Below are 19311 nucleotides of genomic sequence, written 5' to 3'. Positions count from 1 at the left end.
AAAAGGGCGAGTGTTCTAGAAAAAATCCAGAAGAAATATGGTAAAGGGACAAGAGAAAAGGAACTGGTTATCCAAATGAAATTAAGTTTGCACACAGCAGAGGACTTGTGGACTTGAAAACATCAAAGAATCCCAGCAGCTCTTGTTTTGATAGCATCTTGGTGCTAAAAAGATAGCAAGCTCTGGGCTTCCCTTCACTTGAGAATCAGAGTGAGGTCTCCCAGCCCGCCTTCTTCATTCTGAGCTATGTTTCTCCTGTAAGTCCAGTGCATACTCCTCAGCTCAAACAAGTGACATGCCAGAAGGAGCTCAGAGTGATACACCTGGGTATATTAGCAGACGAAATAAATCAAATGGAGAGAAAAATTCTAATGTTTTAAAAAGTATTTTTGCCTGGAAATAAAAGATCTACAATTACCAGCTTGAGAAAGTGGTACGTTTCTTGCTGTAAAAGGATCAGCAAGCTTCCTCCACCCCCTTTTAAAAAATAAAAGTGACTGGAATAAAGAATGGTTTATTTCTCTAGCATAAATATAGAAAAGGGTTAACTTCATTTCTTAAGGGAAAAGAGTCATCCTCTGACTTGAGAAGAAACCAAACCTTTCTAACTGTGGCTCTTGGACTAATTCCAACACATCTGGGTTTTTAGCAACTATCGGATTTGGGAGGAAGGGAAAGATACCCAAAGTGAAGTACTACTAAAGAGTTCCCAACAAGCTTGTCAGTAGTGAACAAATTAAATAAAATCCTAAAGACTTTGCTTGGGTAGTTGATGAATTCAGTTCCATATGTAGACTGCAGCCTTTCCCATCAGTGGATAAAGCAAACTCACGGTTTCCTCTATCTCAGCACACAGGGAGACAGGAATCATGTCTAGCTGTGCCAAGATCTGATTCCTCTGTGGATCCCAGTCTTGAAATATTTCATCTATGGTGAACTCGATTGGCTCCTAATTTTATCCCTTAGCATGCCTGAGACCCTCTACCTTCTGTCAGATAAGATCTGTATCACACTCATTTCCTGAACATGTGCTTTAACAGAGTCACTGAGGAAATGCCAGACTGATGCCACTTGTTCTTGCCATTTTACTAGCAAACAATGACCCCATCTGAACAAGGTAAGGAGAAAGACCTCACTAGAGGTAAGGTTTCTGAAAGACATTAAGGATTGAGAAGAAAAACCCCAAATTCTAGAATGCCCTTTAACTTAAGCCCCCAAAATAAATCATACTGGTATTCCAGGCTCAAGAGCTCAGATGTGGCTGGACACGGTGGCTCACGCCTGCAATCCCAGCATTATGGGAGACCGAGGTGGGTGGATCGTGAGGTCAGGAGTTTGAAACCAGCCTGGCCAAGATGGTGAAACCCCGTCTCTACTAAAAATACAAAATTTAGCCGGGTGCGGTGGTGGGCGCCTGTAATCCCAGCTACTCGGGAGGCTGAGGCAGTAGAGTCGCTTGAACCTGGGAGGCAGAGGTTGCAGGTAGCCGAGATGGCGCCACTGCACTGCAGCTTGGGTGACAGAGTGAGACTCTGTCTCAAAAAACAAAAAAACAAACAAAAGAGCTCAGATGTTGCTTGTTATTTTCTATTATAAAGCCAAAGTAACGCATATGTATAGGGAACAAAAGTGTTCCAAGAAGAAATAATGAACAAATTAAAACCTAATTTGAATTAGAAGTTGGTGACTGGAGGTGATGATTTTACCGTGCAAAGAATGACAACTTCTTTCTTTGTCACTGCTTTCCTCCTGTGCAGCTTCTGAGAAGGTATATCCTGAAAATAATGACACATGTTGCTAAGTAAGGAGACTTTTAAAATATCAGATATTTCCCATAGATCAAGTAGTATGATCACACAAACAATTCCATCATAAATGGCATAGGTTATTCATTAAAAATGAAATTGAATAACTCTTTAAGGGCAAGATAACTCTTTAAGGACTCTAGTGAGTCCTTAACAATTGAATTTCTACTACAAAAATAGTGTGGGTTACCTATGAGAAATAACCCTCAGTAGCTTACTTTTATGTCAACAGAGTAAACACAACATACTGCGTACAAATGCAGATTCTTCCAAGTCTGGGGCATTCCAGAAGATGCCATCATTATAAAGGATATTCTCTATGAGTTAAAATTTGAGGCCAGGCGCGGGTGGCTCAAGCCTGTAATCCCAGCACTTTGGGGGGCCAAGGCGGGTGGATCAAGAGGTCAGGAGTTCAAGGCCAGCCTGGCCAAGATGGTGAAACCCCATCTCTACTAAAAATACAAAAAATTAGCTGGGTGTGGTGGTGGGCACCTGTAATTCCAGCTACTCGGGAGGCTGAGGCAGAGAAGTTCTTGAACCTGGGAGGCAGAGGTTGCAGTGAGCCAAGATCATGCCACTGCACTCCAGCCTGGGCAACAGAATGAGACTCTATCTCAAAACAAAAACAAACAAACAAACGAAAAATTGACAAGTCTTAATGAAGGGAAGACTTTCCTGCCATAAAAATTAAAATGGGCTAGGCCCAGTGGCTCACTCCTGTAATCCCAGCACTTTGGGAGGCCGAGGCAGGAGGATCACTTGAGCTCAGGAGTTTGAGACCAGCCTGGCCAACATGGCAAAACCCCATCTCTACCAAAAATACAAAGGTTAGCCAGGTGTGGTGGCACACACCTGTAATCCCAGCTACTCAGGAGGGAGGCTGAGGCAGAACTGCTTGAACCCAGGAGGCTAAGGTTGCAGTGATCTGAGATTATGCCACTGCACTCCAGCCTGGGTGACAAAGCGAGACCCTGTCTCAAAAAACAAAACCAAAAAAAAAAATGTTTAGTAAATACATTCCACTTCATTTTCACCCCTTTTCACTTCCTTGAGGATTTCCAACTTAAATAGAGCTGAAAATTAAAAACAAGTTTTTTGGCTGGGCGCAGTGGCTCACACCTAATCCCAGCATTTTGGGAGGCTCAGGAAGGTAGAATGCTTGAGCTGAGGAGTTCAAGACCACCCTGAGCAACATGGCGAAACCCCATCTGTACCAAAAATACAAAAATTAGCCAGGTGTGGTAGTGCATGCCTATAGTTCCAGCTACTCGGGAGGCTGAGTTGGGAGGATCACTGGAGCCTGGGAAATCAAGGCTGCAGTGAACCATGATCATGCCACTGCACTCCAGCCTGGTGATAGAGTGAGAACCCATCTCAAAAATAAATAAATAACAAATTTTGAAAATTAAAAAATTTTACCATTAAAAACCCTCAAGTGTAACTGTCTGTAGTGATTAAGTGAATTCACTTGGCTGCACCAGGTGAAATATCCTGGAGGTCCCCACATTGTGAGCATGGAATCCAAAACCATTGATAGCAAAACCAAGAACAGAAGGATAAGAAAGATATGAAGTAGATTCGTGTTACAGTTATTCTTAGAATTAAAAGGAAAATAAATGTTTTACAACATGAAGAGGTACAAAAAAGTCACTCAAGTTCACTTCATTCATTCATCATTACACAATTACTTTCGAGTTCACATTCAGGTGTACAACATTTTAGACAGATATAATGGATTAAAAATAACTGAATAAAAACCCATCATAGGTTTAGTTATAAATAAAATCCAGTTATCAGAGTAGGAACTAAAGAAGGATTTATGAATAAGCTTGTGGCTGGGCACGGTGGCTCACGCCTGTAATCCCAGCACTTTGGGAGGCCAAGCAGGTGGATCATCTGAGGTCAGGAGTTCAAGACCAGCCTGGCCAACATGGCAAAACCCCATCTCTACTAACACTACAAAAATCAGCTGGGCATGGTGGTGGGTGCCTGTAGTCCCAGCTATTCGAGAGGCTGAGGCAGGACAATCGCTTGAACCCGGGAGGCGGAGGTTGCAGTGAGACAAGATCATGCCACTGCCCTCCAGCCTGGGTGACAGAACCAGACTCAGTCTCAAAAAAAAAAAAAAAAAAAAAAGAAGCTTGTATTGTTTGAGAGCATTCAATTTCTCTCTTTCAATTTATCATTCAATAGTTAATAAATTTAAGTCTACAAAATGCTAGCTAGGTGTTTTTTTTTTTTTTTGGACGGGGTCTCACTGTTGCCCAGGCATGATCATAGCTCATTGCAGCCTCCACCATCAGGCTTGGTGATCCTCCCTCAGCCTCTCGGGTAGCTGGGACTACAGGCGCATATCACCATGCCTGGCTAATTTTTTGTAGACACGGGGTTTCACCATGTTGTCCAGGTTGGTCTTGAACGCCCAGGCTCAAGTGATCCGCCTGCCTCAGCCCTCCCAAAGTGCTTCAGTTACAGGTGTGAGCCACTGCACCTGGCCAATGCTGGGTTCTTGACCTTCCTATTTAAAATGGCAACAGAACTGGAGGCCAAAAGAGGTAGTTGCATTTCCTTTTAAAGAGAAAGAGAGTAGACTAGTAGATTTGGGGGTGATCTATATGCAGCCCTGCCGGGGGGAAGGAGAGAAAAGGCCTGTTAAATTGCTGAAGGGCCTTTCTAACTCACAGTGATAGGAACTTGCGCCACGTTCCTTTCTGGCCTGCCTAACTCACAGTGATAGGAACTTGCGCCACGTTCCTTTCTGGCCTGCCTAACTCACAGTGATAGGAACTTGCGCCACGTTCCTTTCTGGCCTGCCTAACTCACAGTGATAGGAACTTGCGCCACGTTCCTTTCTGGCCTGCCTAACTCACAGTGATAGGAACTTGCGCCACGTTCCTTTCTGGCCTGCCTAACTCACAGTGATAGGAACTTGCGCCACGTTCCTTTCTGGCCTGCCTAACTCACAGTGATAGGAACTTGCGCCACGTTCCTTTCTGGCCTGCCTAACTCACAGTGATAGGAACTTGCGCCACGTTCCTTTCTGGCCTGCCTAACTCACAGTGATAGGAACTTGCGCCACGTTCCTTTCTGGCCTTTCTAACTCACAGTGATAGGAACTTGCGCCATGTTCCTTTTTGGCTGTGAGAAGAATGTAGACTATTTTTTGCCTTCCATGCTTCTCAACATTTTATTTAGTAATCTTCTTCTTTTTCTTGAGACAGAGTCTCACTCTGTCACCCAGGCTGGAGGGCAGTGGTGCAATCTCAGCTCACTGCAACCTCCATCTCCTTGGGTTCAAGCAGTTCTCCTGCTTCAGCCTCCCAAATAGCTAGGATTATAAGCGCCCACCACCACGCCCAGCTAATTTTTGTATTTTTAGTAAAGACAGGGTTCCACCATGTTGGCCAGGCTGGTCTCGAACTCCTGACCTCAAATGATCTGCCTGCCTTGGCCTCCCAAAGTGCTGGGATTACAGGTCTTTAGTAATCTTACTTCACTCCAACCTCATGGAAAACTAAGCTGGAAACAATGAACAGCAACTCAGAGAAGAGGATTCAAACTGACCAACCATGACAAACTGGGAATCAATCTGAAGCTTAAGAAACTACAAAAGGACACTCTACTTACAAAAAATAAAATTCAGAAACAACATGGGAAAGGATTAGCTGTGGGCAAGTATGACTGGAACAGCTCTAGCGATCTCACTGGAGAAACTGGGTGTGGCTCTTTATAAAAATTATTGTGCATGTGAAACCAAGACAATGCTGATGCTCTACACCCACAGAATACACGTGATGTACACACAACTTGGGCAATATTCTACTATAGTGGGTATTGATTATGACCTTTTGAAAGTAGTGTGCCAAATTTAAGATTGGAAACTTAGGGAACAAATGGAAAATTTCACTGCGTCAAAGAACAGAAAATGTGGATTGCCAAATAAAAAATTGAAAAGGATTTGGTGGTACTGAGCTCGAAAGAAACAAGGGACCTGAGAAAAGCTGCTCTTAAAAGGCAGTTCTCCCTAAGCCCACAATCGCTGCCTCTCTTAAGATGCCAAGTGCACTTGGCATCTTTGCCATCCTCTGCTGCAAAGTAGAGCCTTTTGGCTTCTAATCTGGAGATCTAGAAATTGGAATGGCAAAAGTCTTCAGTTTCTTATTCACATAAAAGAGATCTTGTTTGCTCAGCTGCCCTATGAACTGAATTTAAGGAACATTTGCATTATTTTGGAATTACCTAATTTGAGTTAAGACATGAGTCTGGGTGTTTATAGGTTACCATCTGCAGAGCATTCATGGGATGGGAGATCTCTGCCTAATTATTCATCTGTTTTGGCTTATGAACTTTTTGAAATTGACTGAGGAGAAACGCATTCCTAGGAAGCCAAGATATTCTCACATACCCTCCCTCCAGCTACGCTGGCCTCTTCACTGTTCCTCAAACAGGCCTGGTACACCCCGACCTTGGGGTTTTCCTTTGCATAGATCATTCCTTCTGCCTGGAATGTTCTTTCTCTATGTATCTGTACAGGTTTCCATGCCTTTATTCAGATTGTACCTTCTCAATGATGCTACTCTACCCATTCTATTTAAAATTATACCCTCCACCATGTTAGCTGTTCTACTTTTTATTTCACAGCACACAGCACCCTCTAACATACCAATTATTAGTACTATGACTCTACTAATTTTTTTTTTTTTTTTTTTTTTTTTTTTTGAGACAGGGTCTCGCTCTGTCACCCAGGCTGGAACATGGTGGCATGATCATGGCTCACTGTAGCCTTGACCTCCACGGGGCTCAAGCAATCTTCCCATCTTAGCCTCCTAGTGCTACAGGTGCTACAGGTGCATGCCACCATACCCGGCTAATTTCTTTGTATTTTGTAGAGACAGGGTTTTGTCACGTTGCTCAGGCTGGTCTCAAACACCTGGACTCAAGCAATCCGCCTGCCTCACTCTCCCAAAGTGCTGGGATTAAAGGCGAGAGTCACTGGACCTGGCCCTAATTATATTTATTGTTATCTGCCTCCTCCACTAGAATGTAAGTCCCCCAAAGACAGGGGTCCTTTGCCTGTTTAGTTTATGGATATAGTCTAAAAGTGCAGAACAGTGCCTGCCACACAGTAGGCATTCAGATATTTATTTCACAAACTAACTCAAACGAAAGAACACCCTGTAACTGCTTTTAATAAGGACCATAAAAAACCATGTTAGTTTTTAAATGGAACAAATGGGAAAACTGTGTACACAAATAAATCAATATTCAGACTATCATTTTTTGGATATGCCAATCGTCCTAACAGTGAATGTAGTCTGATTCTAGCAGGCAGAAGAAAACTTCAACTTAAGGTTCCAAGACCATTGTCTGGCACCAAAACATTTTATATATAAATCACTTTATAACTCAAGTCTCTGATGTCTACTCTGTAAACTGGTTTTTAAGGGTTGATTCTTAGGGGAAGAACTATTTCTGGCAAATGATTCAAGGGCATCAGTATTTTGAGCTAAGAAATCAGTTTCTCTTATTTTACATATTAAATCTATCTAAAATACAATTAGAGAAAAAAGAAAAGCTTATGTAGCAGCAAAAGATTTTTTTTTTTTTTTTTCGCTCTTTCGCCCAGGCTGGAGTGCAGTGGCGATCTCGGCTCACTGCAAGCTCTGCCTCCCGGGCTGACGCCATTCTCCTGCCTCAGCCTCCCGAGTAGCTGGGACTACAGGCGCCCGCCACCACACCCGGCTAATTTTTTGTATTTTTAGTAGAGATGGGGTTTCACCGTGTTAGCCAGGATGGTTTTGATCTCCTGACTCGTGATCTGCCCGCCTCAGCTCCCAAAGTGCTGGGATTACAGGTGTGAGCCACCACACCCGGCCCCAGCAAAAGAGATTTCAAAACACAAATTGGGTTAAGTCATGTTTGAATCATTCCATGGCTTCTCACTGTGTTTAATAACATACTCCTCATCGTGGCTACAAGACCTGGCATGATCCAGTGTCCGGCATCCACACAACATCCATCCAGCCCCCTCCCTCACTCGCTGGGCTCTTGAGGCGCACAGGCCTCTTTCAGTTGCTTGAACACCCCCCCCTCCCCCGCCCCACCTCAAGTTCCCAGCTGCAGCCTTTCCTCAGAGTGATATTCTGCAAGGGCCTCCCCACACCCTCCTCCTTGGCATCTCAATTTAAATGTTACCATCTGTAGCCTGGTTTTCCACTCCCTTTACCCCAAGTTCTTCATTTATACTTCATCTCCTAGTTTGTATCTCACAGTACTTGCAATTATTGGCCTCTCCCACAAGAATAAAAGCCCTTCTAGGGCGAGTACAGTGTCTAATTTATTTATCATCCTATCCCCATCCCATAGCATAGTTCCTGTTATAAAGTGTGTATACGGTGCAGAAGAAGTTCAAACATTCGCTGATGGAATGAGTGTGTATCTACCATTAATTAAAGTCTAAGGGATCAATTGATATTTCTAATTTTCTGAGCTGCAAAAATTAGGATGAATTTGGGAAGGTTGTAGTATTTTCTCTCATCCAAACAAATACCTTCCGTGCTGATATCCACCACTCACCTGTTTAAAGCTGTTCATCCCTAAACATAAAGATTCTCACCTGCTTTGGAGGTTGTTTTTCCTTCCTAACAACAAGAAATTAGAATCACATAGTACTTTTGTTGAAAGTCTATAGATTTGTTTCATAAAACAAAGCTACATGCACTTTCCTCTCAGTCCACTTCCATTTGTAGTTCTCCTATGGCCTGGCCATGATTATATTCTGTATATGCTTGTAGAATTTTAAAATGCTAGGAACTGAATTCATCACAGGTTACTACATCTTCACGTTCAAATATCTGTTAAACATCCAGCACTGTGCTAAGAATATTAGTATTGCTGCATCCAGTTCTCCTCCACCAAACACTACATAGCATTGACAGTAAGCCAGGCACTGTTTTCCACACTTCACAAATATCTGCTCTTCTGTGAGGTAGATGCTATTATCATCTCATATCATAAATGGTATAGACAATGAAACAGAAGCACACAGATGTTAAGCAGCTTGTTAAAGGTCACACGACTATTACACATTAGACATGGAGTCAGTGTTCATGTTGTTAAGACACAAAACAATACCATCTCACAAAAACGAACAAGCCGTGGGCCACACTCTTAACAAGTCTACACCTTTGGAGAAACAGAACTATAAACAAACCTTTACAACATGTTTGTGCCAAGTTTCACATGCCTGGATGAGGTACCAAGGAGATGAGCACTTCTGCTTGAGGAAAATCAAGGAAAGCTTTATGGGAGATAAATACCCTTATGGCAAAATTCAATGAAATTGTTGGTGTTTATCCTCCTCTGCCTCCTGAAACACCCAACACTGAAGTCCATCTTGCCTTTTCCTGGTTTTCCTCCCTCCCCTCTAGTGGGAGGTCTTCCCTGTTTCCTAAATGCTGAGGATCCGCAGGGCTCTCCAGTCTATTCCCTTTACATACTCCCTTCCCTTCCCACCCCATTCACCCCTAGATATTAAAATACCAACTAAACGCTAAGGACTCCCAAAACGCTACCTTCAGTTCAGATCTCGGTGGTGCTTCAGGCCCAGGAGATAGCCATGTAAGTTTCAGTCAGGCAGCCCTTCAATATTGAAAGGTACTTTCAGACTGTACTTCAAACTTAAAAACCAAAAAACCGTTCAACAACCTGCTCCTTATCCTAAGTTATACAGATCTCTGAATAGTAGAAATAAGCTATGTGATAATATTTATAGGCCATTATTTCTTTCTTTCTGTTTTAAGCACCAACATATGTATTTACTGATTTTGGAAAAACTGTCATATACTTCAGAATAATGTATTTGGATCATTTCTAAACAAGAGAATATGAACCAAAGGGAACCCAGGGAAGAAAGTAAATCTGTAACCTTAAACTAGCATGATATTCTTTTCAGGATATTCTCTTTTTCCTAATAAAAATTAGCCAAAAATTAATATTGTTTTTCTTTGAGATGGAGTCTTACTCTGTCACCCAGGCTGGAGTGCAGTGGCTTGATCTCAGCTCACTGCAGCCTCTGCCTCCCGGGTTCAAGCTATTCTCCTGCCTCAGGCTCCCAAGTAGCTGGGATTACAGGCCCACGCCACCATGTTTGGCTAATTTTTGTATTTTTAGTAAAGACAGGGTTTCACTATGTTGGCCAGGCTGGTTTCAAACTCCTGGCCTCAAGCGATCCACATGCCTTGGCCTCTCAAAGTGGTGGGATTACAGGCATGAGCCACTGCGCCCGGCCTACTATTCTCTTTGATCTGAAGATGAACTGAGAGCTGAAAAGCACTGTTTAGATCTGAAATAAGAATCTGAAAGCTCTTAAAAAAAAAAAGGCATTATTTGTCACAGAAGCCATCAGAACAACTACAAAGACCAGGTTTCTTAGGAGAAATAGCTCTAAAAACATGGTTTTGCCAAGCAGGTAGCATCAGTCTTTTTTGTTTGAGACAGTCTTGCTCTGTTCCCCAGGACGGCAAGATCATGGTTCACTGCAGCATCAAACTCTGGGGCTCAAGGGATCCTCCTATCTCAGCCTCCTAAGCAGCTGGGACTACAGGTGCGCACCACCACACCTGGCTAATTTTTAAATTTTGTTGTAGAGATGGGCTCTTGCTATGTTGACCAGGCTGATCTTGAACTCCTGGCCTTGTCAAGCAATCCTCTTGCCCTGGCCTCCCAAAGTGTTGGGATTACAGGCATGGGCCACCAAGCCCAGCCAAGCATCAGTCTTAAAAAAAAAGTGGCCAGTGAAAACAATTGAGGGTATTAAAAAAAAAAGAGAGAGAGAGAAAACAGAAAGCAGGTTAGGGAGACTAAAAACATACTTTCATAAGGAAGTGAAGGAGGTCAGTGGAAGACCAAGGAGGACTCTCAGGGAGCAGCCAGAAAGCTGGGCAGCCTGGGCCCAAGGGAGGCAGGTGGAGACTTCATTCAGAAAAAGAGAGCACCTTTCCCCCAGATTTGAAAGTAACAGATCACTGCAGGAAATATGCAGAAAGAGCAAAATGAAGCCCCCCTTCCTCCAACGTGGAGCTAACCACTGCTGACATTCGGATTTATGTGGAGAAAAGCAGTTTTTAAGAGGAACTCTCGGAATAAGTCTGAGTATCTTGGGTTCATGTTCATATCAATTCTAAAAACTTCATTCATTAGAGTTTGCCCCTGCTTTCACACCATAAATCTCCATACATATAAGCCCCCCCTTTAAAAAAAATTCTTCCTTCAATGTCTTATTAAAATTAACTTAAAAAAAAAACTCAAGCAGCTCGAGCTGCTTTTTTTTTTTTTTTAAGTTAATTTTAATAAGTACAGTAGTGCATGTTTTCTGCAGTAGAAGAAAGAAAGAAGCAGTCTATTTCTAGTGGCTGGGGGTAGGGAGGTGCTGGGGAAGAGCAGGAACCTAGGAAGAGTCAGCAGAGGGTAGCCACGCCCCAGCCCCATGGACGAGACTCCTGAGGAATCCATAAAACTGCGAAGTACTAAGTTCTGGCAACAGATCTCAAACCTGCTCCTTAGCAAGAGAGCTAAAAAGAGAGTGTTTCTTATGTACTCTGTTAATTTGACTCTTAAGGCATATAAACAATAGGGAGACCCTGTCTCTACAAAAATAAAAAACTTAGCCAGATGTGGTGGCATATGCCTATGGTCCCAGCTACTTGGGAGGCTGAGGTGGGAGGATTGCTTGAACCCAGGAGGTCGAGGCTGCAGTGAGTCATGATCATGCCCACTCCAGTCTGGGCAACAGAGAGAGACTCTCAAAAAAAAAAAAAAAAAAAAAAAAAAAAAAAAAAAAAAAAGATAAACAAGAGCTGAAGGATAAGCTTCCAAAATAAACGAGGAAAACAAGAAATCTGTGCTTTTCCTTATGTGATATTCCTGTGCTGCATTCCATGACACTAAGAATATAAAACATGATAACTTCTGTCCTTACGTGTTTACTTCTTAATCTTTTTCAAAGTACGCTATTAAAATGGCAACAGAGGAGTTTTTCTTTTTTCAAGGTATAAAACCAAGAATGTGAGGTGCAGGAGATAAGCATTCAATTTTTCAATGAATTTTTGGAGATGGAAAGCAAGCTTTAAATGCAGATCTGAAAATACGGATTGGCATAAAGTCTATTTAACTAATGCGCAAATTCTCTTCCTCACCTCCTATTTTCATCTATTTTCTCCACCCCCAAATCCAGAGGTTTAAAGAAAAATGAACCGAAATCTGAAATGGGTCTGGAGTAAAATACATCAGCAGGAGCAATGAAGAACTGAAAATACAGATTATGTCAAAAGATGCATACTAAAAGGTTCTCCAAGCCTCCATCCTTGTCCCAGCAACCAATGCACTGTCAGCTAAAGAAATATTAGCAAACATATACATTTGTACAAACATACACACAAAATCCATATATACCAGCCACCCTATAGTAATGGCCACCACCCAACAAGACCCACGCTGGGAACTTAAAATAACAAAAAACAAAACAGAAATGAACAGTCAGAATCATGAGACATTCAAAGAAATCCCACAATAAAATAATTCATTTATTCCTTAAGTTATTAAGCATCTATTCATCGCCAGGCACTGTTTCAGAGGCTGGAATTATAGAGGTAAACAAAAAAAAACCCAAAATCCCTGCCCTCATAGAATGTTTATTTTAGTGGTGAGGGAAACAAGTAAATAAATATGTGGGATGCTAGATGGTGGGAAATGCTTCTGGAGAGAAACAAAGCAGGGAAGTGAGATGGGGGTCTGCACTTCTCAATCCAGTGCTCTCTTCACTGAGGTGACATTTAAGGAAAGACTTGTGGATTCATCCAAAGTGAGGTGTGGGAGCAAGTCGCTGGATATCTGAGGGAAGACACATCCAGACAGAGGCACAGGTGCAAAGGCCCACATCACCTGAAGGAAGTGGAGCCTGTGCAGAGAGGAAGAAAACTCAAATACTCCAGCGGGCCCTCTGAGCCCACCATATCCACATAACAAGAATGGATATTACAAAAAGGTATCAAAGAAAAATTAAAGATTGAGCAAAAAATCACAGAAATAGTACAAGAAAACATCCCGGAACTAGAGGACGTGAATTTCCAGAATCAAAACCGTCTGTGAGAAGCCAGCACAACAGCTGAGTAAAAGACCCATACCCTGGTGTTAATACACATCATAAAACTGCAGAACACCAGAGATAGAGAATATCCTCAAAGCTTCCAGAAGGGGAGAAAACAAACAAAATACGGTCACGTAAGAAGGATTTAAATCACCACATCTCTAGAGCAATTACAGATGCCTTCAACATTCTGAGAGAACCTTATTTCCAATCTAGAATTATATAACTGCCAAACTATCAAACAAGTGTGTGGGCAAAACCAGGTCATTCAAATACTTCTTAGAAATAACTGAAGTATATGCTTTTAAAAAATAAAGACATAAGCCCAGAAAGAGGAAGATACGGTTCCTGCACAGGAAAGGGCAGGTCCAGGAGGACCCCAGGCAGCAGTTCTTGAGAGCAACAGTAAAGGCAGGAGGAGGGGGCAGGGCTCCAATAAACAGGTGATACATTTGAGCTCACAGAAAATGTTACTGATAAGAATGTGACAAATACATTGGAGCATGTGGGAAAAAAATTAACAGTAGGTACATGAAAAACACAGGTGAAGGCCAACCTACACACCAGGAGGAACACACTGTAATAGATCATCCAGCTCAACAGTGAACAGTATTTGACAGAGGTGTAAGTACATAAAAGCTACCTGTTTTAGCAAAAAATTACAATAGAACTATATTAGGGGATAGAGGGCATGGAAAAATAGGAAAGTGGTGGGATGCAAGAGCTAAATACAAATCTATCACAACAAGAAATCAACAGGCCAAACATGAGGGGAAAACCAAGAAAGAATAACAAACCAACTATTTAGCAACAAGAAGATACAGCAGACTCTCAAAAAAAGTCTTTTTGTTCAACATCGTTTTTTCATAACATTGATGAGAGAATAAGTGATTCCTGGCTGAGGCTACCCGTTTGTGTGGAGTTGGCATGCTCCCCATGTCTGTGTGGGTTTTCTCCAGGTATTCTGCTTTCCTCCCACGTCTCAAAGATGTGCCTGCTAGGTTAGCTGGTGTGTCTAGATGGTCCCTGTGTTTGTGTGTGTGTGCATGCACACCCTATGGCATAGACAGCGTCCTGTCCAGGGCTGGCGCCTGCCTTGTGCCCTGAGCTGCCAGCATAGGCTCCAGCCACCTGTGAGCCTAAGCTGGAAAATAAATGAATGAATACAAATTACCAGCAAATAAAAATCTGCAAAGTCTATGGTAATCATCCAAATGCACAACAATAAATGATGTGGTACAATAGCTCTCAGTGAGCCTGCCCTATTGGTGATTGATTGCTTTGGAAATGAGTATGGTGGTAGGAAATGCTTCTGACAATTTTCACTTTGCACACATTTATTCCTTGATTTAACCCACCACCACTATGACTGCAGTAACTCACTGACTCACCAAAAAGTGGGTGAAAATCTTACTTGTTTCAGTGTTTCATATTAGAAATGTTTGGGTCTTTATTTAGAAATTGGGTATGTTTTTGTGACCAGAAAAACGCCATAGAAACCATATGGTAAAACTGGTTTTGTTATATCATGTTTCAAGAATACTGATGGTGTTGACCACTTACTGTAAAGACAGAGGAAAAGAGGAAAACAACTGAGTGGTTGCCTCTAAAGAATGGGACTTTGAGGTAGGGAGGGCAGAGAAACGGTTTTTGTTTTGTTGGGTTTTTTTTTGGTGACAGAGTCTCGCTCTGTCACCTAGGCTGGAGTGCAATGGTGCGACCTCGACTCACCGCAACCTCCATCTCTCCAGTTCCAGCGATTCTCCTACCTCAGCCTCCCAAGTAGCTGGGATTACAGGCACACACCACCATGCTCAGCTAATTTTAGTATTTTTAGTAGAGATTGGGTTTCACCATGTTGGCCAGGCTGGTCTTGAACTCCTGACCTCAGGCAATCCACCTGCCTCAGCCTCCCAAAGTGCTGGGATTACAGGTATGAGCCACTGGACCTGGCCTGAGAAACTGTTTTTTAATTCCAAATCTTTTATTACTATTTGACTTTTAAACTGTATTACACAAATTACTTTTTCTTTTTTGAGATGGGTCTGTCTCTGTCACCCAGGCTGGAGTGCAGTACTGCAATCATGGTTCACTGCAGCTGCAGCCTTGAATTCCCGGGCTCAAATGATCCTCCCACCTCAGCCTCAAGGGTTAGTTAGGACCATAGGTGCGTCACCATGCCCAGCTAATTTTGTGATTTTCTGTAGAGACGAGGTCTTGCTATGTTGCCCAGGCGATCTCAAACTCCTAGGCTCAAAAGATCCTCCCCGCTAGGCCTCCCAAAGTGCTGGGATTAAGGTGTGAGCCATGCACCCCACCCCCATTTAGGACATTTTTTTTTTTTTTTTTTTTGAGACGGAGTCTCATACTTTCACCCAGGCTGGAATGCAGTGGCGCGATCTTGGCTCACTGCAAGCTCTGCCTCCTGGGTTCACGCCACTCTCCTGCCTCAGCCTCCCGAGTAGCTGGGACTACAGGTGCCTGCCACCACGCCCAGCTAATTTTTGTATTTTTAGTAGAGACAGGGTTTCACCGTGTTAGCCAGGATGCTCTCCATCTCCTGATCTCGTGATCCGCCCACCTCGGCCTCCCAAAGTGCTAGGGTTACAGGCGTAAGCCACCGCGCCTGGCCAGAAATCTTAAAAGTATATTCCAACACCACTCAATGAAGTAACCTCCAAACATAAACATTAGCTCAGTGGCAAAAAGTTAAATTCTGGGGACAAGAGCAGAATCCAGTTTCTTAGTATCAATGCTAAATGTATTCAAGATAAATCTGAAATAAATCCCACTAATTCGGGCTGAAAGAGAAGTATTTCAGTATCAGTGGAAAATCTTCATAGACTAGAAACAGAGTTGCAAAAATCTTTCAAATGACAAAAAACTGAAGCCCAAATTATTTGTTCAAGTACGCAGCGGCTGAACTGGAACTAGTCCCACATCTCCTGGCTCCCAATGACTGTACTTTCCAGGGCACCTCCCAAGAGTTCCTGCTAATTGCCTCCTTTAATCTCTCTAAAACCATAAAACAATGTCCAAGTACTTCCTGCTCTTCAAGGAAATGGAATCGCTGGTTAATCTGCAACTAGCAAATCACAGTTTGAGGAGGCGTAACTTAACTTTATACCACTAATTAACCTTAAATTTGTGATAAACGCAAGTTCCTTTATTAGTTAGTCCTTGTTTGTTTATATTTGCGAAATACTAATGCAGCCTTTTTGTTCCTGAATAGACTAGGAAATATCTTTAAAAAGAAACTATCAAGTTCTTCTTTATATGGTTACTTTAGGGGCACATATTATGATATATCAAAATCAATGTAAATAAGTCATGTTTGAACAGAGCCGTAGTCTGCAAGAATGAAGAAATCACTAATAGAATTTCCTTCCTTGTTCTAAGAAAACATTTAGACAAGAGGAGTTCCCAACAAATGGACTGTGACATTGGCGCAGAAGTGGAAAAGTGAACTGCCTAAAAAAGGACCAGCTGAATGAGGAACAGGGAGGAGGCAATATAGAGGTAAAAAAAAAAAAACAAAAAAAAAACAAAAAAAAAAAACAGAAACAAAAGAGTTTTTTGCAGTGGCAGTATTGCAGCCAATGAGGTTTATCTGAGGGGTGATTATTGCTCTTTGAAAATTGGAAAAAAAAAAAAAAAAAAGACATGACATTTGCATAAATTCTTTTTTTTTTTTTTGAGATGGAGTCTTGCTGTGTTGCCCAGACTGGAGTGCAGTGATGCGATCTCGGCTCACTGCAAGCTCCGCCTCCCGGGTTCACGCCATTCTCCCGCCTCAGCCTCCCGAGTAGCTGGGATTACAGGCGCCTGCCACCGCGCCTGGCTAATTTTTTTTTTGTATTTTTAGTAGAGACGGGGGTTTCACCATGTTAGCCAGGATGGTCTCGATCTCCTGACCTCGTGATCTGCCCGCCTCAGCCTCCCAAAGTGCTGGGATTACAGGCGTGGGCCACCGCGCCCGGCCACATAAATTCTTTATACTGAGAACAACTCTACTTTAAATCACCAAGTGCCTAGACTCACCGGAGAAACATTAAGGATGTCATAACTTATGTACCCATACTGGCTAAAGCTGCACTGTCATACCAAACAAAAACTTTGAATTCTTTAAATTTCTCTACAAAGTTTCAACAAGACAAACCTAAAAGTTCCTTCTCCAGAAAAAAGGGACCAATATTTTTATTCTTAAGTCACTAAGTGTGTGCTTTGAGTTAACCTGAAACCCTAGAGCATAAGCTCTGTGTCACTAGCAATGACATTTGAGTTGGTTCTTCATTTTGTTTCCCGCCACAGAAGGCCAACTCTGCAAGAACAGGTGTAGTTTCTTGAATGCCATAAGGTTAGGGTAGAAACAGCCTCTCCCATCCCCGACACAAAACCATAAAAGTCCTGTACCCAAAACAAGTTTTTAATTAATGTAATGATATGAATTTAAGTCCCGATGTCAAAACTTCAGGGTCCTTGGAAAATTGAGCTTCAAGTATCTAAGTAATATGTGATGTTCAAGTGAAATTAGAACCTAGGTCTGGAGCATGGAAGGTAATAATTCTTTTAGGGTGGAATTTCTCAACTTTTATAGACCTCTGTCTTACTGGTAAATTTGCAGGGGGTGGGTGGGGAACAGGAGAAACAGATGTTTCCCAATCTCCCTTGGAAATCTTTGCATTTGTATCTGGATCTGCATTTACACCTGCCTTATAAGAGAAACGTACACAAGCCTTGCTTCTTTCCCACTTTACAAATACATCTTCCTCTACCTTCATTCTTCAGGCCAAACATTGACAGAAATAAGACAATTCAAAATGTTCAGACACACCTAGCATACATTTATGATGCACTTCAGCCATCTAACAGATATCGAGTTTACTATGTGCCAGGTGAGTGGATTAAAAAAAAAAATTCTTCCAGGGACTCACAGATCAACAGCAGCTGCCAAGAGTACGCCTTGACCTGCATAACTCAATTAATTCAAACTCAAAGGAGTTACAGTGTAGGGGGAAAAGACCAGACCTCATCACTGACCACCTAGATTGTAACTAGTTTTCCTACTATCAAACCCTTTCCTTCCCCACTATCAAACCCTTTCCTTCCCCATCTGTCCTGCATTCAACTGCCAGATTCATTTCCAGAATTCCACTTTCAAGGAGTCTCTCTGCCCTACTCGAAAAGCTTCAAAGACTCCTCACTACGTATCACCTCTAGTTCAAACTCTTCAACTTGAGTCTTCTATGAGTAGCTCCACCTGATCAACTTTGTTTCTTGTTGGTACGGCTCCCTTCTGCCAAACCCTTTAGGAGGTGTAGAACCCAAATCTAATTCAACTACCTATTCTCTAATAACTCCTCAGGCAGCCTTCATTCCAAGCAGTCTTAAAAAATTGTTCCTTCTATCGTCACAGATCCATTAGTTTTCAGGACATTCTTTCTGAACTCAGCATAAGCTTTCCTCTTAACAAATGGCAGGTATATCCCAAGTTATTTTTAACACTACCATCCCAAACAGATGTTTATCTTCCCAGCCACCCCTGAGTGAAATCAGAGGGAGTCGCCTGCAGTTCGGGCAAGGGAATCCCAACATCGCATCTCGTGAGAGGAGGTATGGTGTGGTTGCAAACTATGGAGAGGAAAAATAAAGGAAACAGGAAAAGTGAAGGTCTGTGCTCCGTTCTTTCAGCTTTTTCTTTAGGAGGAGTAGGGAAGGTAGGGAGGAGACCCCCAAGAAATGAATTCTTGAGGAAGGGCAGAAAAAACACTCACAGTGCTTCCTAAGTAGGAAATAGGTGCTGGGGGCCCTGGATAAGGGAAGGGGCCGTCATCCTTAGGAGAAGGGTACAGGTTACAACGCGAAACAAAGAGGCTGGGAGTTGGAAGATGAAGGGTGGAGAGACTACAGAGATCCGGGCATCCGATCAAGAGGGTCCCCGACGCGTCCCGCAGGGGACTGGCGGATCACCGGAGATTCAGTGGCTAAGAGGGACGGCGTCGGTGCCTAGGAGGGCTCTGGGGCGAGCGTTTATGGGACATCGCTCCTAAGGGGGCGCGGGGGCGGGGAGGAGTTTTTGAGTGGGATCGTGTACCAAAAGGAGAAACGTTTCTCAGACCAGTGCTCTTCTTGAACGGAAATCCCGGGGACGCAGAAAACGTTAAACCGTTGAGGCACCGGCATTTCCCAGCCCCAGCCCGGCTTCCCTACACACTCACCGAGTCTCCTCCAAACGCCACTGCTCCAGCTGCAGCTACCGGCCGGCGCAGCCGCACTGAGCGCGCACCGTCCCCACGTGACTCGCCCAGGCCCCACCCCGCACCACGTGACCTGCAGGGCCCACCCACTCCCGCCTCATTG

General features: G+C 43.0%; 1 protein-coding gene and 1 pseudogene across 5 annotated transcripts in view, besides 1 other annotated feature; one reads left to right on the top strand and one right to left on the bottom strand.

Moving 5' to 3' along the window:
* The window catches only part of FAM118B (family with sequence similarity 118 member B), a 51264-nt gene extending 31988 nt beyond the window's left edge, over positions 1 to 19276 (bottom strand). For 2 of the 5 annotated variants that reach the window (NM_001330446.2, NM_024556.4), the window contains exons 1-2: positions 19170 to 19218; positions 1707 to 1775 (exon numbers count right to left, since the gene is read on the bottom strand). The gene's annotated coding sequence lies outside the window, so the exon portion shown is untranslated. Of the gene's footprint in view, positions 1 to 1706; positions 1776 to 19169 lie in introns of all 5 variants that reach the window. The other 3 variants (NM_001439324.1, NM_001439325.1, XM_011542978.4) reach the window with 2 other exon arrangements.
* Positions 100 to 300: a silencer, noted in NCBI's record as "peak1502 fragment used in MPRA reporter construct". NCBI's record gives its function as "represses an SCP1 promoter by STARR-seq MPRAs in K562 erythroleukemia cells {active_cell/tissue: K562}" and the evidence as "EXISTENCE:reporter gene assay evidence [ECO:0000049][PMID:32103011]".
* On the top strand, positions 16522 to 16740 carry RNU4-86P (RNA, U4 small nuclear 86, pseudogene; annotated as a pseudogene).

Source organism: Homo sapiens, chromosome 11 (assembly GCF_000001405.40).
Source record: "Homo sapiens chromosome 11, GRCh38.p14 Primary Assembly".
Classification (NCBI taxonomy): domain Eukaryota; kingdom Metazoa; phylum Chordata; class Mammalia; order Primates; family Hominidae; genus Homo; species Homo sapiens.
Note: the sequence above shows the minus strand (reverse complement) of the source record. Positions and strands in the feature narration are given on the sequence as shown.